Below are 27,019 nucleotides of genomic sequence, written 5' to 3' on the forward strand. Positions count from 1 at the left end.
GAAGGAACCATTTGTTATATACAGTTCTTTCCAGTTATGTGCAAATATGAATGATCGTCTTAAGAATGCTCTATATGTTATGTAAAATGCGTCAACATTTTTAGTATACTTTGCTGCCTTTGATTGAAATTTAGGGTACTTTTTTCATTTAAACATGTTTTACATGTATGAGATGCTGCTTACTGCTTACCTTCTGTATCTTCCTGCATTCATTAAAAAAAAAATTTCGTGTCTGCTGTATGCTTTAAATATTTCGAGCGGATACCTGGAATACATAGAATAGAAAGTAAGATTGGTTGAAGTCATTTGGCTCCATTTTCTCTCCCTCCTTGTACAGTATGCAAGCTGTAACATAATACCAAATATAATAGGTTGAAATGGCTGCAGTGAACTGTCTCTTAGGATGAGCCTAGCCTCTCATTTGATTTTCTGTTTTGTGTGTGTGTGTGTGTGTGTGTGTGTGTGTGTGTGTGTGTGTGTGTGTGTGATGGAGTTTTGCTTTTGTCGCCCAGGCTGGAGTGCAATGGCGTGATCTCAGCTCACCACAACCTCCACCTCTCGGGTTCAAGCGATTCTCCTTCGTCAGCCTCCTGAGTAGCTGGGATTACAGGCAAGTGCCACCACGCCCAGCTAATTTTTTGTATTTTTAGTAGAGAGGGGGTTTCTTCATGTTGGTCAGGCTGGACTTGAATTCCCAACCTCAGGTGATCCACCCGCCTCGGCCTCCCAAAGTGCTGGGATTACATGCTTGAGCCACAGTGCCCAGCCTCACATTGCATTTTCTAAATGTTACATGGAAGTTAATTATCCCTGCATCTTGCTTCATGATATTATTGGGTGACATAGTTACTTCAGGCTCATATGCCATTTTCTGGGGGCCTTATAGGAGACTTTGTGAGCCCACACTTACTTTGTAGGTGGTCTGTCTGAAACCCAGTCCAATTGCCATTCAGTTGAATTGAATCTGAAATATTTCTAAAGATTTGATGTTTGTTGGGGGCTGGGCATGGTGGGAGGCCACTTTGACCTCAGTCCTAGCACTTTGAGAGTCCAAGGTGGGAGGATTGCTTCAGACCAGGAGTTTGAGACCAGCTTGGGCAACAGCGAGACCCTGTCTCTGCAAACAATTAAAAAATTAGAGCTGGGCATGGTGGCTCAAGCCTGTAATCCCAGCACTTTGGGAGGCCAAGGTGGGCGGATCATCAGGTCAGGAGTTCTAGACCTGCCTGGTCAATATGGTGAAACCCTGTCTCTAATAAAAATACAAAAATTGGCTGAGCGTGGTGGCATACACCTGTAGTCGCAGCTACTCGGGAGGCAGAAGAATTGCTTGAACCCAGGAAGCAGAGGTTGCAGTGAGCCAAGATCATGCCACTGCACTCCAGCCTGGGCGACACTGCGAGATTCCAACTCTAAATAAATAAATAAATTAGCTGGTCATAGTGGTTGGCGCCTGTAGTCATAGCTTTTCTGGGGAGGATGAGGCAAAAGGATTGCTTGAGCCCAAGAGTTTGAGATTGTAGTGAGCTATGATCATGTCACTGCACTCCAACCTAAACAACAGAGACCCTGTCTCTAAACAATAAAAAAAAAAAATTGAAGTTTATAAATATGTTATTATTTTTTAATTTTTATTTTTTTTGGAAACAGGGTTTTGCTCTGTCACCCAGGCTGGAGTGCAGTGGTGCCATCATAGTTCACTGCGTCCTTGAACTCCTTGAACTCAGGTGATTCTGTCACCTCAGCCTCAGTAGCTAGGACTGCAGGCACACACCATGGCAGTCAGCTAGTTTTAAAATTTTTTGTAGAGACAGGGTCTTGCTTTGTTGCCCAGGCTGGTCTTGAACTTCTGGGTTCAAGCGATCCTCCTGCCCTTGGCCTTCCGAAGTGCTGGGATTACAGGTGTGAGCCACAGTGCCCAGCTCACTTTATTATCTTTAGCCACTGGATATTAAGGATAGGCCAGAAGCCAGCATTTACTCTCCCATGTTCACATCTACCATGGCAGCCTATAGGAATGGGTTCCTGAAATATATACCATCTTCTATACAGATTCTTCAGTAGTTGCAGGCCCTTGAAACATTCTGCAGGGTCTGAGGATATAGATGTTACTTAAAGGTAACTTCTGCAGCCATTGTCCTATGACTAATTTGTGGTTAAGACATAAGTTGAAGGCTGGGTGCGGTGGCTCACGCCTGTAATCCCAGCACTTTGGGAGGCCGAGGCGGGCAGATCACTTGAGGTCAGGAGTTCAAGAGCGGTCTGGCCAACATGGCGAAACCTCATCTCTACTAAAAATACAAAAATTAGCCGGGTGTGTTGGTGCATGCCTGTAATCCCAGTTACTCAGGAGGCTGAGGCAGGAGAATCACTTGAACCTGGCAGGCGGAGGTTGCAGTGGGCCGAGATTGTGCCACTGCATTCCAGCCTGGGAAACAGCGAGGATCTGTCTCAAAAAAAAAAAAAAAAAAAAAAAAAAAGGCATAGGTTGATTGGAGGTTTTGGGGGATCTCCAAGGGTTACACAGGGATTCTTAGCAGTCCAAATCCTATAATAAATAACAACCTTGGATTGCTGGTAAGAAGGATGATTTTTACATTACTTAATTAACAAGATGTATGATTGCAAGTTGTGGAGTGTGTGTGTGTGTGTGTGTGTGTGTGTGTGTGTGTGTGTGTGTGTGTGTGTGTGGTGGTAGTGGTCTTTAGAATTTGCTAAAGGGTATTAGGACGGAGGAGAAGGATGTTTGTGATGAGGCCATTATATGATTGTGAATGAGCCAGGATAGATAAGTAAATATCTTTTGTACTTGAAGATGCTGCCAATGATATTACTTCTTACTGACCTGGATAGGACTGAAAAGACCAATTTGTAAAAGCTGCAGTCTTTCCTATTTTAAATAACTTGCTTTTGTTTTAAGGCTACCCTCTGTAGTTGAGCAGTACTTTTCCTTACATTATCCACTTGGTCTCTGATCATAGCATGTCAGTGTGGTTAGCCCACTGCTGGCTCTTCCTGGCCTACTGTTAAAAATGATTCAAAATGTACATTAGTGTGTGGCAGAAGTGACTCTTCTGCTTACCTTGTTTGGATATCTAGTTACATTTTTATAGTAAATTGCTCTTGTAATCTACCTGCATGTCCTGCAGGAGCCCTTTGTATAGCATGCCTTCATAAGAAGCTTTGTGACATGTGATGAAAACAGTGAAACTCATCTGTAACTAATGTAATGACGGGAAGTTAATGTATTGTAGCTGAATGGTAGGTGGGACATAACACTGCAGATGAAGCCAGCCATGTAGCTTAAACTTCTTTTTTTTTGAGACAGGGTCTTGCTCTGTCTCCTAGGCTGGAGTGCAGTGGCACAATCTTGGCTTACTGCAACCTCCACCTCCCAGGGCTTAAGTGATCCTCCTGCCTCAGCCTCCCAAGTAGCTGGGAATGCAGGTGCTCACCATCTGGTACTGCTAATTTTTAAATAGAGACAGGGTCCAGGCTGGTCTCAAACACCTGGCCTCAAATGATCCTTCTGTCTTGGCCTCCCAAAATGCTTGGATTACAGGCATGAACCACTGCACCTGGCCTGATTTTTTTTTTTTTTTTTTTTTTTTTTTAAGATGGAGTTTCACTCTGTCGCCCATGCTGGAGTGCAGTGGTGCAATCTTGGCTCACTGCAACCTCCGCCTCCCAGGTTCAAGTGATTCTCCTGCCTCAGCCTCCCGAGTAGCTGGGATTACAAGTGCCCGCCACCACGCCCAGCTAATTTTTTGTATTTTTAGTAGAGACGGGGTTTCACCATGTTGACCAGGCTGGTCTTGAACTCCTGACCTCAGGTGATCCGCCTGCCTCGGCCTCCCAAAGTGCTGGGATTACAGGCCTGAGCTATCACGCCCGCCCCTGATTTTTTTTAAGTCAGAGTCTTGCTTCGTCGCTCAAGTTGGAGTGCAGTGATGTGATCATGGCTCATTGCAGCCTCCAGATCCTGGGCTCAAGTGATCCTCCCACCTCAGTCTCCCTAGTAGCTGGGAGTACAGGCTCGTACCACCATGCCCTGCTAATTTTTAAATTTTTTATAGAGACAGGGTCTTGCTATGTTTCCTAGGCTGGTCTTGAATTCCTGGCCTCAAGCAGTCCATTGGCTTTGGCCTCTCAAAGTGCTGAGATTACAGGTGTGAACCATTGTACCTGGCCGGTGTTTTGTTGATTTTTTTTTTTTTTTTTTTTTTTTTTGAGACGGAGTCTCACTCTGTCGCCCAGGCTGGAGTGCAGTGGTGCGATCTCAGCTCCACTGCAACCTCTGCTGTCCGGATTCAAGCAATTCTCCTGCCTCAGCCTCCTGAGTAGCTGGGATTACAGGCTCCTGCCACTGTGCCTGGCTAATTTTTGTATTTTCAGTAGAGACAGGTTTCACCATCTTGGCCAGTTTGGTCTTGAACTCCTGACCTTGTGATCCGCCTGCCTTGGTTTCCCAAAGTGCTGGGATTACAGGCATGAGCCACCTCACCCAGCCCAGTGTTTCGTTAATCTTATCAGCACACAGGAGGTTTTCTTTCTTCTTTTTTTTGTTCATCTAGAATATACACACTGAATACACTAGGTTTGTTGAAATGTCTAATTTCTTAAGTTGATAATGCTTTAAACAAAGCTTAGTTGGTTAATGTTTTTCACCTCTGTTATTACTCAAAGGTTGTATTGTATCTAGGAATTTTAAAAGTTGATATTTGGCATTTGTCATTAGCCTACCAGTCCATAATGTTATGATGATCCTATAAATTAGACTATAGGATATTATTATATGATATTATTGTAATTTGGGAGCACAGGGAACAATGCGTAACAACGACTACTAAATGTGTGTTCGGTCTCTAGCCTGATGAAAAAGCTTCTGAAAAAAGGAAGGATATTTGATACTTTCATCCTGATTACTTGTTACCTGAAATCTTAACATTTCAGCAACATTAAGTAGGATTATATTCAATTTTTATATGATTACATTTTTCATTGGGCAGTAAAGCTGAGAACACATCATCCTTTCACACTGTACGGGCTAATTATTTCCATTGTGAAATAGCCCCAAGTATATTATTAACCTTTTTGGTAGCTGAAGTTTCTGATGCCTGAAATGTGTATCTACTGAATGGCGTTAGTTATGATCAGGCCAGTATTGATAGTATAGTTATAATATTTCTATATATAATATGATCAGGCCAATATTGATAGTATAGTTATTTCTATGTATAATATTTCCAATATTTTTCTTTTAACTTATTAAAATAGGGAAGCTGTATGAGATGTTAGTTAAAAGCACAAGCCATTGAGTACACAAATCTGGCTTTGAATCTACTCCCCTACCTACTCCCTTGGTCAAGTCATTTAATTTCTCTGAGCCTATGTTTCTGTATCTGTAAAATGGATGCAGTAGTAATCCTACTATAGAGTTGTCATGATTGTTGCATTTTGTTTTATTTTATTTATTTATTTTTTGAGACAGAATCTTGCTCTTGACACCCAGGCTGGAGCACAATGGCACGATCTTGGCTCACTGCCACCTCCAGCTCCAGGGTTCAAGCGATTCCCCTGCCTCAGCCTCCTGAGTAGTTGGGATTATAGGTGCTCGCCACCATGCCTGGCTAATTTTTGTATTTTTAGTAGAGATGGGGTTTCACCATGTTGGCCAGGCTGGTCTCAAACTCCTGACCTGATGATCTGCCCGCCTCGGCCTCCCAAAGTGCTGGGATATTTATTTTGAGTTAATGTTTATTTTATTTTATTTTATTTTATTTTATTTTATTTTATTTTATTCTTCTTTTGAGACGGAGTCTCACTCTGTCACCCAGGCTGGAGTGCAGTGGCTCGAACTCGGCTCACTGCAACCTCCGCCTCCCGGGATCAAGCGATTGTCCTGCCTCAGCCTCCTGAGTAGCTGGGACTACAGGCGCATGCCTCCACGCCCGGCTAATTTTTTGTATTTTTTAGTAGAGACGGGTTTCACCGTTTTAGTCAGGATGATCTCTATCTCCTGACCTCATGATCTGCCCGCCTTGGCCTCCCAAAGTGCTGGGATTACAGGCATGAGCCACCACGCCCGGCCAATTTTATTTTTTTTTTGAGACAGGGTCTAGCCCTGTCGCCTAGGCTACAGTGCAGTGGCATGATCATGGCTTACTGCAGCCTCGACCTGCTGGGGTCAGGCAATCCCCTTGCCTCTGTCTCCCAAGTAGCTGGGACTACAGGTGGATGCCATCATGCCTGGCTAATGTAAAAATTTTTTGTAGAGACAGGATCTTGCTATGTTGCATAGGCTGGTCTTGAACTCCTAGGCTCAGCTATCCTCTGGCCTCAGCCTCCCAAAGTGCTGGGATTATAGGCATGAGCCTCTGTGCCCATCAGATTTTATTTTATTATTTTTATTTTATTTTATTTTATTTTTGAGATGGAGTCTCCCTCTGTCGACCAGGCTGGATCGCAGTGGTGCGATCTCGGCTCACTTCAACCTCTGCCTCCCGGGTTCAAGTGATTCTTCTGCCTCAGCCTCCTCAGTAGCTGGGATTACAGGCATGTGCCACCATGCCCTGCTAATTTTTAAAAATATTTTTAGTAGAGACAGGGTTTCTCCATGTTGGTCAGGCTGGTCTTGAACTCCTGACCTCATGATCCACCCACCTCGGCCTCCCAAAGTGCTGGGATTACAGGTGTGAGCCACTGCGCCTGGCCCCAGATTTTATTTTTGAGTTGAAATTCATATAACATAAAATTAACTGGCCGGGCATAGTGGCTCACGCCTGTAATCCTAGCACTCTGGGAGGCTGAGGTGGGTGGATCACGAGGTCAGGAGATCGAGACCATCCTGGCTAACATGGTGAAACCCCGTCTCTACTAAAAATACAAAAAAATAATTAGCCGGGCATGGTAGCGGGTGCCTGTAGTCCCAGCTACTCAGGAGGTTGAGGCAGGAGAATGGCGTGAACCCGGGAGGCAGAGGTTGCAATGAGCCGCGATCACGCCACTGCACTCCAGCATGGGTGACAGAGCGAGAATCCGTCTCAAAAAAAAAAAAAAAAAAGAAAACAAAAATTAACCGTTTTATGTCCTACAACCATCACCTCTATCTAGTTCAATTTTTTTTTTTTTTTTTTGGACGGAGTCTTGCTCTGTTGCCCAGGCTGGAGTGCAGTGGCATGATCTCCGCTCACTGCAACCTCTGCCTCCTGGGTTCAAGTGATTCTCCTGTCTGAGCCTCCCGAGTAGCTGAGACTACAGGCACACGCCACCACACCTGACTAATTTTTGTATTTTTAGTAGAGATGGGGTTTCACCATATTGATCAGGCTGGTCTCAAACTCCTGACCTCAGGTGATCTGCCCGCCTTGGCCTCCCAAAGTGCTGGGATTACAGGCATGAGCCACTGTGCCTGGCCTATTTCAGAACTTTTTCATCACCCCCAAAGGAGACCCTGTATTCATTAAATATTTACTCTTTATTTCCTCCTCTCATCTCTGGCAACCACTGATTTGCCTTCTGTCTATGTGGATGTACCTATTCTGTATATTTCAAATAAATGGAATCACACAATATATGACCTTTTGTGTCTGGCTTTTCTGACATAGCATAATGTTGAGACTTAACCACTGGTCTCATGTATCAACCTCATTCCTCTCTCTCTTTTTTTTTTTTTTTTTGAGACAAAATCTCACTCTGTTGACCAGGCTGGAGTGTAGTGGTGTGATTACAGCTCTCTGCAGCCTCAAACTCAAGTGAACCTCCCACATCAGCCTCCCAAAGGGCTGGGATTACAGGCGAAAACCACCATGCCTGACCGAGAACCTCATTCCTCTTTATGGCTAAATACTAGTCCGTTGTTCAGATATACAACTCTGCCTTCAATGCCTTCCAGGTCATTTGAAAAAATCTGTTTATTGGCCATGCACGGTGACTCACACCTGTAATCTCAGCACTTTGGGAGGCCGAGGTGGGCGGATCACCTGAGGTCAGGAGTTTGAGATCAGCCTGGCCAACATGGCAAAACCCCGCCTCTATTAAAAATACAAAAATTAGCCAGGTGTGGTGGCGTGCGCCTGTAATCCCAGCTACTTGAGAGGCTGAGACAGGAGAATCACTTGAACTCGGGAGGCAGAGGTTGCAGTGAGCCGAGATGGCACCACTGCCCTCCAGCCTGGGAGACAGAGCAAGACTCTGCCTCAAAAAAAAAATATATATATATATTTATCTATTTATGGTTAGTTGTGTCTTTTCCACCTTTGCCTACTGTGAAGAAGGTTACTGTGAACATTCATGTATAGTATTTGTTTGAATACCTGTTTTGAGTTCTTTTGTGTCTATACCTAAAAGTGGAATTGCTGGGTCATATAGTAATTCTTTTTTTTTTTTTTTCCTCAAAAGCTGGTGTCATAGTGTACATATAATAATACTATATTTAACTTTTGGACAAACCACCATACAGTTTTCCATAGCGGCTGTACCATTTTACATTCCTACCAGCAACGTATGAGGAGTCTGATTTCTTCACATCCTTGTCAACATTTGTTGTTGTTGTTGTTGTTGTTGTTTTTAATTTTAGCTATCCTAGTAGATGTGAAGTGGTATCTCGTGCTTTTTATTTGCATTTCTCTAATGACTAGTGATGTTGAACATCTTTTCATGTGCTTGTTGGCCATTCGTATATCTTCTTGGAGAAATGTCTATTAAGTCCTTTGCCCAATTTCAAATTGGCTTGTCTTTTTGTTGAGTTATAACCATTGAATTTTAATTGCTGTAAAACACTCCATGAGTACATGTAGCATGCACTCAATAACTATTAGCTAATACTATAGTTGTAATTATTTTTGCCACATGTGGCCTGAATTGGAAGGAAATTGCCTAGTTTTTCCAAGTAGGAGTGGAGATGTAACAAAACCTGTATTTAAGGCCAATAAAGATTTGACTCTGTCAGTGTTGATACTTTGCTTTTAATTGATGCTCCCAAATCAAGAAATTAGAAACGTGTATACATAAAATCAGTTTATCTTTGGCAGAAATCAGTATATTATCAATGTTTAATTAATTCCTAAGAATTAATGGCAATAGTGCCTCTAGTTTTAGCTGAGATTTAGATCATCTTTCTTCATTCTGCCCTGTTATGCGACATTTGCTATAAATGCCACAATGAGAATTTTTTGAAACCTGGGTCAGAGAAGCCTACTTTTTATATTTAATAGTATGTGATTGATGTATTATCATTGTTTTATGCTTATTGCATCTTGGTTTTATGGGGTGTTCAAAAGAAGATAGATGAGAATAGGTGATCCAAAGTAATTTAGAATTTTATCCTCCAGTTGGGACTGAACCATCTTGAACTGATGAATATATTCTACCAGGTTTATAGGTAGATATGCCGTTTCATTATATCGTGATTTGGAGTGAGACAGTAGCTTTTAAGCAGAACAAACAGCCATATGTAAGTCTAAATTTGGTTATTTTCTTTGAATAAGCAATGGAAACTGTATGCATTCAGGAACTGGTGATTCAGATATCTTCTGAAGGCCCTCTCTCCCTGTGCTCCACAGCTTTGTCCTGAACTCTCCTGTCTCTTGCGATGCCTCTGTGCCTATACCTATTTTGTGAACTCTGCCTGCAATGCCGTCCAAGTCAGTTGGTGACTCCTCAAACCTCACTGAAGTCTTTCGGGTGGATTCAAATGCTGCTTTTAGCCATTAAAATCTGTTACATCTGTTACATACTTTCACAATAGCACTTATCCTAGTGTAGTTTTAAAAATGCACTTAAAAATTTTTAAAGCAGTGCATGCATGCAGTAAACAAAATTGGACAGTACAGAAATAAATGGTGAAGACAGTCTCCCAGTTTTCTTCCCCATGGATAGCACTTTCTCTTTTTTATCCTTCCAAAGATATTTTGTGCTGATACAAGAATTTTTATACCGTATGAAGTGCTTATTCATCTTATCTTTTACTTCAGGGTAATTTATGAGTAATGAAAAAATTCAAGCATTACAAAAATGTAGAGTGTGTGAAGCAAAAGGTCCCCTTTACTTTGATCCCTAACACTAGCCCTTTCCAAATAACACTGTCCTAATTAACATTCCTCTCTCCAGAAGTAACCTCTGTTATAAGCCTTGTCTGTGCCTTCAGATTGTTCTGCTTACACTTATATGCCTATTTAAAAGTGTATATTTTTGTATTTTGTTTGTTTGTTTGTTTGAGACAGAGTTTCGCTCTTGTTGCCCAGGCTGGAGTGCAATGGCGCTATCTCTGCTCACTACAACCTGTGTCTCCCTGGTTCAAGTGATTCTCCTGGCTCAGCCTCCTGAGTAGCTAGGATTACAGGTGCACGCCACCATGCCCGGCTAATTTTTGTATTTTTAGTAGAGATGGAGTTTCACCATGTTGGCCAGGCTGGTCACGAACTCCTGACCTCAGGTTATCCACCCACCTTGGCCTTTCAAACTGCTGGGATTACAGGCATGAGCCACTGCGCCCGGCCTTTTAAATTTTATTATTATTATTATTATTTTAAAACAGAGTCTTGCTCTGTCACCCAGGCTGGAGTGCAGTGGCACAATTTTGGCTCAATGCAGCCTCCGCCTCCCGGGTTCAAGCGATTCTCCTGCCTCAGCCTCCCGGCTAGCTGGGATTACAGGCGCACACCACCATGCCTGGCTAATGTTTTGTATTTTTAGTAGAAAGGGGGTTTCACCATGTTTGCCAGGCTGGTCTCGAATTCCTGACCTCAGGTGATCCGCCTGCCTCGGCCTCTCAAAGTGCTGGGATTACAGGTGTGAGACACCATGCCTGGATTGTATGTATTTTTTTAATGATATTTTGTATATTCTTTAACTTTTTCTTTTTAATATATGTGTCTTGGAAATTTTTTTATGTCAGATCCTCTTTATTTTTATTTATTTTTTGAGACACGGTTTTGCTCTGCCACCCTGGCTGGAGCGCAGTGACATCATCTCATCTTATTGCAACCTCAGCCACACAGGCTCAAGTGATCCTCCCATCTCAGCCTCCCAAGTAGCTAGGACTACAGGCCATGCTTGCTAATATTTAAATTTTTTTGTAAAGTCGAGGTCTCACTGTATTGCCCAGGCTGGTCTTGAACTCCTGGACTCAGGTGATCCTCCCACCTCAGCCTCTTAAAGTGTTGCGCTTATAGACATGAGCCATCTTGCCCGACCCACTTTATTCTTCCTGCATGGTGTTTATTGCATAAAATGTATATACCATTTTATTTAACCATTTCCCAATTAATGGATATATCTAGGTGTTTCTAACAGTGTTTTAATGAACCACTTTTTTATATGGTTCTTGTCGGGCATGTGTGAATCTCTAGGTTGCTAGAAGTGAATTGCTAGGTGAAAGGTTGTGCTCTTCTAAACATTTTGGTGAATACTACTAAATTGCTTTACTTTTTAAAAACAATGTACTTTGACATAATTTTAGATTTACAGAAGAGTAAAGATAGTACAAAGAGCTCCCATATTCCCTTCTCTCAGCTTCCCCTAATGTTAACATCTTTCATAACCATAGGGCATTTATTAAAACTAAGAAATTAACACTGGTACACTATTATAGACTTGATTTGGATTCCTCCAGTTTTTCCACTAATGTCTTAAAAAATCTCAGAGATGGGCTCTTGCTGTATATTGCCCAGGTTAGTCTTGAATTCCTGCCTCAAGTAATCTTCTTGCCTCGGCCTCCCAAAGTGCTGGGATTACGGCATGAGCCACTGTGCCTGGCTACATTCTGGATATTAATCCTTTGTTAAATATGATTTCTTTTCCTTTTAGGCAGATGATGCTTTTTCTTCTCTCTTTTTAAAATTTCAAATGTAATATGCTTATTGTACAACATGTATAAGTTGAAAAGTGAAAGTCTCCCTACTGTCTCTTTAGTCCCATTCCCCATACATGGTACTGTTCTTACCCCACAGACTAACAGATTGGTATTTTTCCTACCAGAACATTTTCTGTATAGATGTAGAAACATGTATGTATGTGTTTGTATGTGCCTACATGTGTGCAAGTGTGTATGTATATATAAAAGCATGCATAAATGTTTTTTGATAACAGTGAGATCATACAACATACTGCAATTTTGCTTTCATCAGTTAACAAATCATAGAACCCTAATGTGTTGTAAATGTATGTTTCAAATACAATCTAGTGTCTTTTTCTCACTAGATTATAAGCTCCCTCCTACAGAGACCATGATTCTTCTCACCCTACACCTATTCTTTTTCTGTGTAAATACGATCATCCATACGTTTGCTCATGCCAAAAATCTTTCATTTTTTTTTTTTTAAGACGGCATTTCACTCATGTTGCCCAGGCTGGAGTGCAATGGCGCGACCTTGGCTCACCGCAACCTTCGCTTCCCGGGTTCAAGCAATTATCCTGCCTCATCCTCCCGAGTAGCTGGGATTACAGGTGTGCGCCACCATGCCCAGCTAATTTTGTATTTTTAGTAGAGACGGGGTTTCTCCATGTCGGTCAGGCTGGTCTGGAACTCCCAACCTCAGGTGATTTGCCCGCCTCAGCCTCTCAAAGTGCTAGGATTACAGGTGTGACCCACTGCACCCAGTCCATTCATTTCTTTAATAAAGTTTTACTTAGTGCCTACTATGAGCCAGGTACATAGGAGTAAACTAAGCATGAAAATTCTTGCCTGAATGCAGCTTATATTCTAGTGGAGAGGGCAGATATTAAGCGAAGGAGTGAAATGTTTAGTATTTCACGGGGTAATAAATGGTATTTCAAAAAAAAAAAACAAAAACCATGAAAAAAACACCCTCCCAAAGGAGGGGGAGACTGTGTGAGCATGTAAGTATATAAGTGTGTGTGTGTGTGTGTGTGTGTGTGTGTGTGGCAGAGACAGAGATAGAGACAGAGACAGATTCAGATGTAGTGAGGGAAGGCCTTGTTGAGAAACTAATATTTGAGGAAAGATCTAAAAATTGTCTTTGATTTCCTTTTCTTCCTTATAATTCACATCAAATATGTCTCCAATTCCTATTGATTTAATCTTCAAAATATATCTGAAGCCCACCCATCAAGTAGGTGGATTGAATTGGCAGTGGGAGTTTGTGAAAATTTTCTTACGATTGTTTTAATATTCTCAGTGAATTAGGAAATAAAGTGCTTAGCTGAGAGTGAGGATGAGGAGGGTGATGGAGGTTTGTGTAAAGAGGAAAAGGTGTGAAATTGTTTAGGAGAATGGGAGAATGGCTGCAGCAGGGAAATATTGTGTGATTGCCAGGGAGCATTGAGAGCCCCTTGAGGTTTGCAGTTACAATTTTGTGGGGTTTTTTTTGTTTTTTGTTTGTTTGTTTGTTTGTTTGTTTGTTTTTTGTTTTTTTTTTTTGAGACAGAGTCTTGCTCTGTCTCCCGGGCTGGAGTGCAGTGGTGCGATCTTACTGCAACCTCTGCCTCCCAGGTTCAAGTGATTCTTGTGCCTCAGCCTCCCAAGTAACTGGGATTACAGGTGCATGCCATCATGCCTGGCTGATTTTCGTATTTTTTTTTTAGTAGAGTCGGGGTTTCACCATGTTGGCCAGGCTGGTCTCAAACTCCTGACCGCAAGTGATCCGCCTGCCTCGGCCCCCAAAGTGCTGGGATTACAGGTGTGAGCCACTGTGCCCAGCTTGTGGTTATTTATTTGAGACAGAATCTCGCTCTGTCACCCAGGCTGGAGTGCAGTGGTGCCATCTCGGCTCACTGCAACCTCCGCCTCCTTGGTTCAAGCCGTTCTCCTGCCTCAGCCTCCCAGTAGCTGGGATTACAGGCGTGCGCCACCATGCCCAACTAATTTTTGTATTTTTAGTAGAGACGGGGTTTCACCTTGTTGGCCAGGCTGGTCTCAAACTCCTGACCTCTCAGGTGATCTGCCCGCCTTGGCCTCCCAAAGTGCTGGGATTACAGGCGTGAGCTACTGTGCCCGGCCTCTGTGGTTATAAATTTAAAGTGAGATTGGTCAGTATGGTTTATTTCCTCCAGCCATATTCAGCTGCAGGGGTGTATGTTTGGAGTGAATTTAACCAGGGAGGGGTTTTGCCAAGATAGCCAAACAAAGCAGGAGAAGGGCAAGGGATAGAGGGTACCTGTGTATGCAAGGGAGTGGTATAATATACTGTGGAATTCTAACCGGGTAAGGAGGGGAGGACATGAAGTGGCTAAGAGATAGTGAAAAGATGGGAGAAGCAATGGATGGAAGGTCCTGGTGGGATCAGAAGCTGCTGGAGTTTGGGTATGTGAGAGACTGAACCATGAAGATAGTGGGTTATTGTTGGACAGTGGGAGCTAATTGATATTGTGAAAGCATGATCATGGGATGAGTGGGTAAAGGACAAGATCAGTGGAAGTGAGAAATTTAAAGAACTGAGACAAGGAATTCAGAGAGATACGGTATGGAAAGATCATCTTTGTGAAATCACTGAGAGTTAAGATAGTAGTGTAGAAGGTCACAGTAAGCCAGGTATTGGGTAATAGAATTTTTATAGGATATTCGATGTAAGGTTTTGTGTTTTTTTAGGGAATAAGGAGGGAGACTGATTTGGAAACATCTGTGAGGAGCAAAGAGGACACTTACTCACCCCCAGGTCCAGTGGTATGAGAGGTATGGGGAAGGTAACTTACACCACTTTAGGGCCCCAGAGGCCAGTGTGGCCCCAGAGGAGAACCGGCTTTTAATTAGAGCAAGAAGTTGAAGGGAATATTCAAAGAAGATGCTGAAAATGTAGGGAAAGCGCTTCAAAGTTTGGAGAGGTGGATGACACATGGAGACGGAACTAGAGATATGCAGAACAGTGTGGGGATTAGAATGTGGGAGATGAGGCCAGGCGTGGTGGCTCATGCCTGTAATCCCAGCATTTTGGGAGGCTGAGGTGGGTGGATCGCCTGGGGTTAGGAGTTTGGGACCAGCCCGACCAACTTGGTGAAAACCCATCTCTACTAAAAATACAAAAATTGGCCAGGCGCGGTGATGCACTCCTGTAATCCCAACTACTCGGGAGGATGAGGCAGGAGAATCTCTTGAAGCTGGGAGGTTGAGGTTGCAGTGAGCTGAGATCACGCCACTGCACACTCCAGCCTGGGCAACAGAACTAGACTCTGTCTCAAAAAAAAAAAAAAAAAAAAAGAATGTGGGAGATGGGAGATGAGAGATGTGGGAGTCTGGGGCTTCTTTGATGGACAGCATAAGCAGAGATAAAGAACCTGAAGAGATTAGGCCTGGTGGAGAGCAGGCAGGCACTGGAGGTGAGGGTGGGAGTGTGGGGAGGGAGCAGGGGCGTTCTTACCTAGATCCCCTGCTGACACATCTGTTCATAATGGAGAGGAGTATCTTACTGCAGGTGTAAGGGGTTCTCTTTTGATGAATCCTGTGGGCTCTCTCTTTATGATCACATATTAATGCCTTTTGCTTTAAGTATTTATTTTTTTTGAGGCAGGGTCTTGCTATATTATAGCCCAGCCTGGCTTCAAACTTGTGGGCTCAAGCAATCCTCCTGCCTCAGCCTGTTGGGTAGCTGGAACTACAGGCGTGCACCACTATGCCTGGCTTTTTCACTTTAAGTCTTTTTGTCTCTGTTACTAATATTAATGAATGAATACCAATAAGATTTTTTGATTAATATTTGTGTAGCACATTTTTTTAAACCATCTTTTAAATTGTCAGCCCTCTGGCTTACTTTGCTTTAAGTGTTTCTTCGTAAGCTGTACATAGTTGTATTTCAAAAATCTGATTGTCTTGATAAATGTAATCTTTTCATATTTAATGTGATTACTGATAGTTTACACTTATTTCTGCTGTTTTCATTTATACTTGTTTTTTGAACCCTACTTTTTTTTTTAAAAAATAATTTTTTTTCCCCTGACAGGGTCTCTCTCTGTCACCCTGGCTGGAGTGCAGTGGTGCAATCATGGCTTACTGCAGCCTCAAACTCATGGGCTCAATATATCCTCCTGCCTCAGCCTTATGAGCAATTGGGACTACAGGCATGTGCCACCATGCTGGACTAATTTTTTTTATTTTTTTATATATATGGGGTTTTACCATGTTACTCAGGCTGGTCTTGAACTTCTGGCCTCAAGTAATCCACCTGTCTCAGCCTCCCAAAGTGTTGGGATTACAGGCATGAGCCACCATGCCTAGCCTTGAACCACATTTTTTTTTCCTTTTTTTTTTTTTTAAGAGACAAGGTCACACTCTCTTGCCCAGGCTGGAGTGCAGTGGCATAATCCTAGCTCACTTCAGCCTCAACCTCCCAGGCTCAAGTGATCCTCCCTCTTCAGCCTCATAAGTAGCTGGTACTGTAGGCACAAGTCCCCATGCCCAGCTAATTTTAATTTTTTTGTAGAGATGGGATCTCACTATGTTGGCCAGGCTGGTCTTGAACTCCTGGTCTCAAGCAGTCCTCTCACATTGGCCTACGAAAGTGCTGGGATTACAAGTGTGAGCCATGGTGACCACACTTCTTATTTGCATTCTGTTGTATATATGGAGTCCTTTTTTCTTCTGATTTTTAAGTTGAACATTCTATTTCTCTGTTTAGTAGTTAACTGTTAAATTTTTAACATGCATACTTACTGAAGTCCAAGATTAATATCTTTGACTTCCTGAATAATTCAGGAACCTCAGAATGCTTTAAGTTGGAAGGACCCCGCCCAGCCTTCTCACGCAAAGCTTCAAGTGTTCGGCCCTGCCCCACCGTAACGCGAGGAAGGAAATCTCGCAAGGCTGGAGTCCTTTTGGCGCCCCTGGCGGAGGCGGTTAGCAGAGGTGTCTCCCCCGCCGGTGGTGGGGCTAAACGCTACTGGCTTCACGGCCACACCTCCGCTGCCTCCGTCTGGTTCAGCGTCTGCTAACTGAGGAGGCAGATTAGGGGCGCGGAGTCTCTTCCCTTGGGTGCATAGGTCCCGGTTGGTAGAGGCTTTGAGTCCTCATCGCCACAGCTGACGGCTGCGAGGGACTAAGAGCAGGATATATCTTTAGAAATGAGTTGCACAATTGAGAAGGCACTTGCTGATGCTAAAACTCTTGTTGAAAGATTAAGAGATCACGACGATGCAGCAGAAACTCTGATTGAGCAAACCACAGCTCTCAATAAGCGAGTAGAAGCCACGAAGCAGTATCAGAAAGAAATTCAAGAGCTTAATGAAGTCGCAAGAACATCGGCCACGGTCCACGTTAGTTATGGGAATCCAGCAAGAAAACAGACAAATCAGAGAATTGCAACAAGAAAGAAAAGAATTGCGTACATCCCTGGAAGAACATCAGTCGGCCTTGGAACTTACGATGAGCAAGTATCGAGAACAAATGGTTAGATTGCTAATGGCTAGCAAAAAAGATGATCCGGGAAAAATAATGAAGTTAACAAAAGCAGCACTCCAAGGATACAGGCACATGTTGACCAGATAAATGAAATATGGCAGCAGTAATGAAGAAAGCCATTGAAATTGACAAGCAACAGGATTGCAAGGAACAAGAACTAATATTTCAACTTGAACAAGAAAACAAAGGCGTTAGAGAGATCCTATAAATAACTCGAGAATCACTTTTGAACCTAAGGAAAGAAGATGTGTCGGAAAGTACTTCTTTGTCAGCATTAGTGACCAACAGTGACTTGAGTCTGAGGAAGAGCTGAAGAGCTTCTGAGTCTGTGAGCTTCTTACATGGCTCCCAGTGGTCAAATAAGTGAATGAATGAATGAACAGAAAATTCAATCCATTATTTTTTTCTCTTTAAATATGTACAGTGTACTGGCTATGAGATAGCAACAAAAACGCATAGTTAATGGTCATAGACCTTTTTCCAAAACATAATTGGAAAATAGAAACTGAGCCATTGCCAACTGGTAAAGAAATGAAAGGTTTTCACAGTGACTACTAAATATAGAACTTTTGGCAGTGCTGCTGGCTTTCTGGGTGATTAATTAGGTAAACTTGAATATTCCCAATAAATATGTGAGAATTCATAAAATTATATCAATTTAAAAATATAAAGTTTTGCCACTGTTTTGTGAATGGAAGATTTGCATGCTAAATTTCATCCTTATTTGGCGTTAAAGTTAACACAAAGTTTATGTACCATGAGACTTCAGCTTTAGTGATTACCTACTTTCACATTTATTTAAATTTTTGTGAAAGAAAATTCAGTTTTAAAGGCTATAGGAATGTGTTATATGTACCATAAACAAAAAAGGTAATTTTAGCAATTTACCATAACTGATACTTAGCTAACAATTGTCCATAACTTGTTTAAGTATAAGAAATACCATTTCAGGAATGAAAAAGAAGGAATACTACTTTCTAAGAAAGAAAATCTTATAATAGACATTTTAGTAGGTTAAACTTCTCCTTTGAAAGAATAAGTTTTGGTTCGAAGTCAGTAATGAAGATGAGATTTGTTTTTCTCTTCTCTGGCTGATTTTTAAGGATACTATGTAGTTCATTTAATTAACAGAATTGAAGTGTTTGATATGGCAAAATAGGTATGGTAATTTCAAAGTGAATTGGGAATTCCTCTGGCTCATAGAACTCTTTTAAATTAAAATTTCAAAAAAAAATTCTGGATCTGTTTTTAAACTCCATCTGGTCCTCATAACCTGTAAGATTTTTCTTAAAACCTTTCAGCTGAAAGCGGGGGTAGAGGTGGGGTAATCTGTGGATTTAGAAGTATTTGTTTTCTGTTGTCTTTTAAAATGTCAAATATGCCGGGCGCGGTGGCTCACGCCTGTAATCCCAGCACTTTGGGAGGCCGAGGCTGGTGGATCACGAGGTCAGGAGTTTGAGACCAGCCTGGCCAACATGGTGAAACCCCGTCCCTACTAAAAATACAAAAATTAGCTGGTCGTGGAGGCGTGTGCCTGTAATCCCAGCTACTCGGGAGGCTGAGGCAGGAGAATCGCTTGAACCCGGGAGGCGGAGGTTGCAGTGAGCTGAGATCGTGCCATTACACTCCAGCCTGGGCAACAGGGCAAGACTGCGTCTCAAAAAATATGTATATTTTAAAAAAAAGTCAAGTATGTAGTATGTATATTTTAAAAAAGCCACCAGTTATGGAAATGTGCTTTAACATCAGTTGAAACCTAAATTTTCTAATGTTGTGATTGTAGTAAAAAGGGATAAAAGAAGAGTGTCAAACATGATGAAATATATTATACTCATTTATATTGAAGGCATATTAAAGACAAATAGAAAATTCTACTTTGAGTATATAATTTTTTAAATAAATATTACTTTATATGGTAATTTTTATGTATAATTTCATATACTGGTGAAATTCAAAACCACTTTACACTTCAGAATTTTTCTATCTTAAGTTTGGGCTGAGTGGGGTGGATGAGACTGATTGAATAGAAAAGGGCTAATGGCCCAAACATTACATGGATTTCTTTTCTCAGTCAGAGGCCTTATTTGATATTTTATAAATAAATGACAGTTTTTATTTTTAAACTTTTTTATTGTTTTTGGGAAAGTATCCCTTAATTTAACGACACATTCATTCAGATACTTTTTATCCCTGGTAAGAAAGAAAGGAAATAAGCTACACAATTGAGATTAAGTCTGAGGCAGTTCATTGAGGCAGCTCTACTGTAAAAGATTACTTGACAGATAATTAGTTTTGTAAACAAGTTGGGTTAACTTATTCTTGGTCTTTTTGCTTGGATATGAATTTAAGGTTTGATTGTTATTTAGTGACACTTTTCCATCCTATTTTTTTTTTTTGGTTGTTGTTAAACAGAACCTTAACTTTATGTCTGAGGTATGTACTGCATGGGAACCTATTTTATTATTAAAGATGAGTGATTAAAAAAATAATGCTTTAAGTTATATTCCTTCTGTATGCTTCAATCTTGTTTAATTTTTTGGTAGTTTAGTTCCACCTTAAACCATGCTTACTGTGAAATATTTCAGGCCAGGGTTGGTGGCTCACACCTGTAGTCCCAGCAGTTTGGGAGGCGGGTGAATCACCTGAGGTCAGGAGTTCGAGACTAGCCTGGCCAACATGGCGAAACCCTGTCTTTACAAAAAATACAAAAATTGGTCAGGCGTGGTGGCAGGTGCCTGTAGTCCCAGCTACTCAGGAAGCTGAGGCAGGAGAATTGTTTGAACCCGGGAGGCAGAGGTTGCGGTGAGCCGAGATCTCACCACTGCACTCCAGCGCCTAGGCAACAGAGTGAGACTCCATCTCAAAAAACAAACAAACAAAAAGAAATATTTCAAATCCACAGATAAAAATAGAAGTAGGCCGGGCGCGATGGCTCACGCCTGTAATCCCAGCACTTTGGGAAGCTGAGTTGGGTGGATCACCTGAGGTCAGGAGTTTGAGACCAGCCTGGCCAACATGGTGAAACCCTGTCTCTACTAAAAATACAAAAATTAGCCAGGCGTGGTGGCAGGCGCCCATAATCCCAGCTACTTGGGAGGCTGAGGCAGGAGAATTGCTTGAACCCAGGGGGCGGAGGTTGTAGTGAGCAGAGATCATGCCACTTCACTCCAGCCTGGGCAAAACTGTGAAACTCCATCCAAAAAAAATAGTAATATAGAAACATCTGTGTACTCACCAGTGCTTTGTCTCACCTTAATTATGCCAATTGGAGTCGTATTTTTTTTTAATTGTGGACATTTTCAACAATAAAAATGGAAAGAATAATATAATTAACTCCCCTGTAGACTCATCTAGCTTCAGTGATTATTAAAATTTTTTCCATTCTTAGTTTCCTCTGTTCTTCCCACTCACTACTTTTCATGAGTATTGTCAACATTATCCATCCTTTTCTAAAAGTTCTCCATCAGCCTTTCATTCAGTGATTTTAGCAGCCATTGATTGTTGACTAGATCCATTCTTACATTAAGGCATACAAAATAGGGATTTTTTTCTAATTTTATTATTATTCTGTATTTATTAGGTAGAATTTTTCTATAAAGAAGACTTTTTCCTTCATTGACTTTTTTATTACTTTGAAATATGGTTTGTACAGGAAGGGCAGAATTATTTCTCTTTGTTCGTATTTAGAATAATGAAATGACTTAGTGCCCCACTAACCTCCAAAAATGACTAATGTGTTTTGTTTGTTTTAGAGTGTGATTATAAATTAATGGATATTTATGTATTTAATATGTTTCAGGCACCGTAGACATTATTCTTATTGATGTTCATATTGTGTCATCTTAGTTCAGTGGGAACCCATTTAATTTGGCTCCTTTGTCCTTTTGATGTGACCCCAGTAGTCTTTGATAGCTTTTCTGTTTTATAGCACAAGAAAACCGAGGCTCATCTATTTGTTTCCTTTCAATAGCAGGCCACCATGTCCTGCTATTTTTATGTTTATTTTTATAGAGACAGGTTCTCCCTATGTTGCCCAGGCTGGTGGTGTTGAACTCCTGGACTCAAGTGATCTTCCTGCCTCAAGTGATTTTACTGCCTCAGATTACATGCGTGAGCCACTGCTCCTGGCCAGCCCTACAACTTCTTTTTCAAAGTCGTTTTTACTATTCCAGGACTTTTGCATTTTCATATGGATTTTAGAACTAGTTTGCTGGGCTGGGAGTGGTGGCCCACACCTGTAATCCCACCACTTTGGGAGGCCATAGTGGGAAAATTGCTTGAGCCCATGTCACCTGGGCAACATGGCGAAACCCTGTCTCTACCAAAAATACAAAAATTAGCCGGGCTTCATGGTGCACACCTGCAGTCGCGGCTACTTGGGAGGCTGAGGTGGGAGGGATCCCTTGAGTTTAGGAGGCAGAGGTTGCAGTGAGCTGAGATCGAGTCACTGCACTCCAGTCTGGGGAACAGAGCAAGACCTTGTCTCCAAAAAAAAAAAAAAAAAACAGAACTAGTTTGCTGGATTCTGCAAAAAAAGTCTGCTGGGATTTTGATTGAGATTGCATTAAATCTATTGAATCAGTTTGGGGAGAATTGGCATGCTGACAACATTGAATCTTCTAACCTATGACCAGATAGATATATAACTCCTTTTATTTAGGTCTTTAATATCTCTCCATGATGTGTAGTTTTCAGTGTTCAGATCTTTCACATCTTTTTTTTTTCAGATTTATCTTTACAAATTTTATATTTAATGCTTTGTATTTATAGTTTTAATTAGTGATTGCTTGTTGCTAGTATATAGAAATATAATAGATTTTTCTGTATTGACCTTGTATCCTGCAACGTTGCTAAACTCATTTATTATTATTTTTTAGATTTTATCAGATAGTTTTTTCACAGATGATCATGTCATCTATGAATAAAGACAATTTTAAGGCCGGGCGTGGTGCCTCACGCCTGTAATCCCAGCACTTTGGGAGGCCGAGGCAGGTGGATCACCTGAGGTCAGGAGTTCGAAACCAGCCTGGCCAACATAACCCTGTCTCTACTAAAAATACAAAAAAAAAATTTAGCTGGGCTTGGTGGCAGAGGCCTGTAATCCCAGCTACTCAGGAGACTGAGGCAGGAGAATCCCTTGAACCCAGGAGGCGGAGGTTGCAGTGAGCCGAGATCCCACCACCGCACTCCAGCCTGGGCAATAGAGCGAGACTCTGTCTCGGGGGATAAAAAAAGACAATTTTATTTCTTTTTCTTTTTTCTTTTTAATCTGGATTCCTTTTAATTTTTAATTTAAAATTTTTTTAATTTAAAGTATTTTTTTATTTATAGAGATGGAGTCTTGCTATGTTCCCCAGGCTAGTCTCAAACTCCTGGCCTCAAGTGACCTCCTGTCTTGGCCTTCCAAAGTGCTGGGATTATAGGTGTGAGCCACTGTGCCCAGTCTTCTTTTATTTCTTTTTCTTGCCTGATTGCACTGGCTGGGACCTCCAATACAATGTTGAAGAGAAGCAGTGAAAGTAAATATCTTTGTGTTGTTCCTATCTTAGAGACAATACTACCTTGTTTTTCAGATTTTTTTTTTTTTTTTGAGACAGAATCTCACTCTGTTGCCCAGGATGGAATGCAGTGTCATGATCTTGGCTCACTGCAACCTCCTCCTCCATGATTCAAGTGATTCTCCCGCCTCAGCCTCCCGAGTAGCTGGGATTACAGGCGCCCATCACCATGCCCACTAATTTTTTTGTATTTTTATTAGAGATGGGGTTTCACCATGTTGATTAGGCTGGTCTTGAACTCCTGACCGCAGGTGATCCACCCGCCTCAGCCTCCCAAAGTGCTGGGATTACAGGCATGAGCCACTGTGCCCGACCCAGATTGTTATATTACTTCTTTTTGGTAGTAAGAACACTTAACATGAAATCTACCCTCCTGACAAATCTTTTGTTGTACAATACTGTAATATTAACTATAGGGACAGTGTTTTACAGCAGACCTGTAGAACTTAATTAGCTTGTGTAACTGAAACTTTATACCCACTGAATAGCAACTCTTTGTTTCCCCCTCTTCCCAGCCCCTGGCAACCACCATGCTACTTGATGCATCTGTGTGTTTGAGTATTTTATATACCTCATATAAGTGGTATCATGCATTATTTGTCCTGTGACTGGCTTTCACTTAGCATAGTGTTTCAGGGTTCATCCATGTTGTCACATGTGGCAGGATTTCCTTTTTTAAAACTTAATATTCCATTGTATGTGTATACTATATTTTCTCACTAATTCATCCGTTGATGTACATTTAGGTTGTTTCCACATCTTGGCCATTGTGAATAATGCTACAATGAACGTAGGAATGAAAATACCCCTCAAGATCCTGATTTCAGTTCTTTTGGATAAATATCCAGAAGTGAGATTAGTGGATCATGTCATATGTTTTCCATAGCAGCTGCACTGTTTTACATTCCCACCAACAGTGTACAAGGGTTTTAGCATCTCCTTGTCTTCATCGTGTTCTTATTCTTGGGGTGCTGTCTTTGATTGCTGATTTCCTCGTGGGAGGTTTGTTTCTCTGTCTGTGTATGTGTGTGTATTTTCTTTAACCCTGAACTTGAGTCCTATGTACCTCAGATTGTGGAAGCTTCCCTACTGCATAGTTTCTCCTTTGCTTCTACTATGGTACTATTTCATTCTTTAGTTCTGAATCTTATTTATGATAAAGTGTCAGCTTGGGGTCCCTCTACCACATGTGTAGTATGAATTTAGATCTCACATCTGTGAATGGTGCAGGACTAGGATCCAGTTTCTTCCAGGTAACTTTTTCCATTCCTAGTCCCAAATGCAAGGCTTTCTCTTCTCCTAGCTAGAGAGCTGTTTCTACTTCGCATTTCATGGATGGAGCAGTCCTTTTTGTTTCTTAATTTATGCTCAGTTCCATCTTGTTTTGGGCTGAGTACATGGCCTGTGGCCTAAACTCTTTTGTAACTCCTAGCGATTCAGGTATTCATGTGTATCATTTGTCTTCAGCTCTGGACTTCAGCTCTGTAATAGCCTTTTAAATGAGCTCCTCTGATTCCACTCTTGTACCCCTAATAATCCATTCCCAACACAGTGATCATTAATATATTTACATTTTAGTGCCTGTGTTTTTAGCTTCATCTGGCACCATTCCTACCCATGCTACCTGGCCATTTATTTCCCTAATGCCTTGTGTTCCCACTCGCTACAGGGCCTTTGTACTTGCTATTCCCTCTGTCTGGAATGTTCTTCACTGCCACCACCTCTTCTCTTATCATTACCTTCTCATCTTTGGGCTCTGACCTCAGTTATCACTTCCTGAGAGAAGTCTTTGCTGACTCCTCAGTTTGTTTCAGGTTTCCTTCTCCCTGTGGATATCATAGCATCCTAAGCTTTATTTTCATGGCATGTATCATAGTTTTTTATTAGAATGTAAACTGTCTGAGGGTAGGGACTTTGTCTTGCTCATCACTGTATTTCCTGTCCTGAGAAGAGTGCTTATACAAGTAGATATTAAAAAGATGTTTGCTGAGTGGGTGCATGTATTTGAGCGGTTTCCTCCATTAGACTGTAAGCTAGGAAAGTGCAGGACAATTTTGTTTTGCTCACTAGTATATTCCCCAGTGCCTAGTATAGAATCTGGCATATTATAAGTGCTCAATAAATATTTACTGGCTGGCTGAGTGCTGTGGCTCACTCCTGTAATCCCACAGCTTTGGCAGGCTAAGATGGGAGGATCGCTTAAGGCCAGGAGTTTGAGACCAACCTGGGTAACATAACAAGACCCTATCTCTACAAAAAATAAAAAAAAGCTAGCTGGATATGGTAGTGCATGCCTGTAGTGTTAACTACGTGGAAGGCTGAGGTGGGAAGATCACTTGAGCCCAGGAGTTTGAGGCTGCAGTGAGCTATGATGGTGTCATTGCATTCCAGCCTGGGTGACAGAGTGAGACTCTTAGCTCTTTAAAAAAAAAAAAAAAAAAAAAAAAAGGATCCATTGGCCGAGCATGGTGGCCCACATCTGTAATCCCAGCACTGTGGGAGGCCGAGGTGGGCAGATCATTTGAGCTCAGGAATTTGAGACCAGCCTGGGCATCATGGCAAAACCCCATCTCTACAAAAAAATACAAAAATGAGTGGTGTGAGCCTGTGGTCTCAGCTACTCAGGAGGCTGAGGTGTGAGGATTGCTTGGGCCCAGGAGGTGCAGATTGCAGTGAGATCAAGCCACTGCACTCCAGCCTGGGAGACAGAGGGAGACCCTGTCTCAAAAAAAAAAAAAAAAAAAAAAAAAGAAAAGAAAAGAAAAATTTGATGGCTGACTGAATGAATGAATGAATAAGTAGTTTTAAATGAGGATGGGGGCCAGACTAGGGCCAGTTCATAAAAAATTTTATTTGCAATGCTAAGAAGCTTGAACTTGAACTTTATATAAGGGGGTTTTAAACAGGAGAATGACACGAACAGGCTTATGTTCAATGTAGAAGGATCCCCTCAGCAGTTATGTGGAGGCTGGTTGGAACGTTACAGAATATTGGTGTACTCCAGGGAAGATTGAAGTCCTAATAGAAGGAAGGTGGAATGGAGAAGATAAATTCAAGAGAATTTAGAAATAGGTTAGGCGGGATTGTATTGGATGAAGATGGGAGAATAAAGGGAAGAACGCATATCACTTCCTGGGTTTCTTGTTTGGGAGACCAAGTAGTGCCACCCACATAGGCACTATGGGAAGAAGGACAGGCTTGGGAATGGATGAACTTAGTTGAGATGTGTTAAATTTTCAAACATGAGAAATCTGGAAAATTTAATTGATGGTATATTTACTTGGATTACGGATATTCTTTTTTTCCCCTCACACACTTAATCCTTTATATGTAAATACAGAAATCCCACCAACCCCCATGTTTTCCAGAAAATGATTTGAGTTAAACAGCTCTTTTACTAGGAACATGTTCAATTTGAGTTTCCTGTGGGATATCCAGGTGGAGATGTACATTAGGTAATAGGGAGCTTGTTTGAAAAGGTCTATTTCTGTACTATTTCCTACAATTTCAATGAAAACAGCCTGACAATTTTGACTTTTTCTCTCTTAGGCTGTTTTAGCATGCTTTGTCTCCAGTACTTGCAAAGCTGCCCTAGATTTTTCTTCCTTTTGTTTTTGTCCTTCCTCTTTATTTTGCCTTTGCCAGACTCAAGGGCTTCTCACCTTCTGACCCCTGCATTTCCCCCATGTCCACATACGTTTTCGTGTCTTTTTTTCTAATTTTTTTCTCAAAGAGCATATAATTCTTTTTTTTTTCCTTTGGTTTTCAGGGTTCATTTTCATCAAAGTTATGTGTGAATATGGTTTATAGAATCAAATAGTTTTGTAAAGCTTGTTTTAAGAAAGCAGCACTCCTTCCTTTATTTCCCTTTTCTCAGAAGCACTTTTAGCTTTTTTAGTTAATATTTTTATCTCCATTTCTGTAATAACATACTTGTATTGCTATTTCTGATTTCATCAGTTGTAAGATACACCATTACTTGATGTACTACTAGAAAAGAGAAATAAGCCCAAGATGGATAGTCTATTAGGGGCCACGCATAAAGCTGGGAAACTACATGAGAATGGAAATGAGAAGTAAACCCACCATACAGAAAGGCATAGCAAGGCATCTT

At 41.5% G+C, this 27,019-nt stretch overlaps 1 protein-coding gene and 1 pseudogene across 18 annotated transcripts in view; both read left to right on the forward strand.

Annotated features, from left to right (window-relative positions):
• Window positions 1-27,019, forward strand: part of SPATS2 (spermatogenesis associated serine rich 2) — a 160,574-nt gene that overhangs the window by 5,654 nt on the left and 127,901 nt on the right. For 2 of the 17 annotated variants that reach the window (NM_001293285.2, XM_047429406.1), the window contains one exon: window positions 14,549-14,632. The exons of the other annotated variants lie outside the window; for them this stretch is intronic. The gene's annotated coding sequence lies outside the window, so the exon portion shown is untranslated. The remainder of the gene's footprint in view (window positions 1-14,548; window positions 14,633-27,019) is intronic. 17 annotated transcript variants of the gene reach the window in all.
• Window positions 16,669-19,830, forward strand: LOC100335030 (FGFR1 oncogene partner 2 pseudogene; annotated as a pseudogene). The gene has a single exon (NR_033267.1). The product of NR_033267.1 is annotated as an FGFR1 oncogene partner 2 pseudogene (transcript).

This window comes from Homo sapiens, chromosome 12, assembly GCF_000001405.40.
Source record: "Homo sapiens chromosome 12, GRCh38.p14 Primary Assembly".
Classification (NCBI taxonomy): domain Eukaryota; kingdom Metazoa; phylum Chordata; class Mammalia; order Primates; family Hominidae; genus Homo; species Homo sapiens.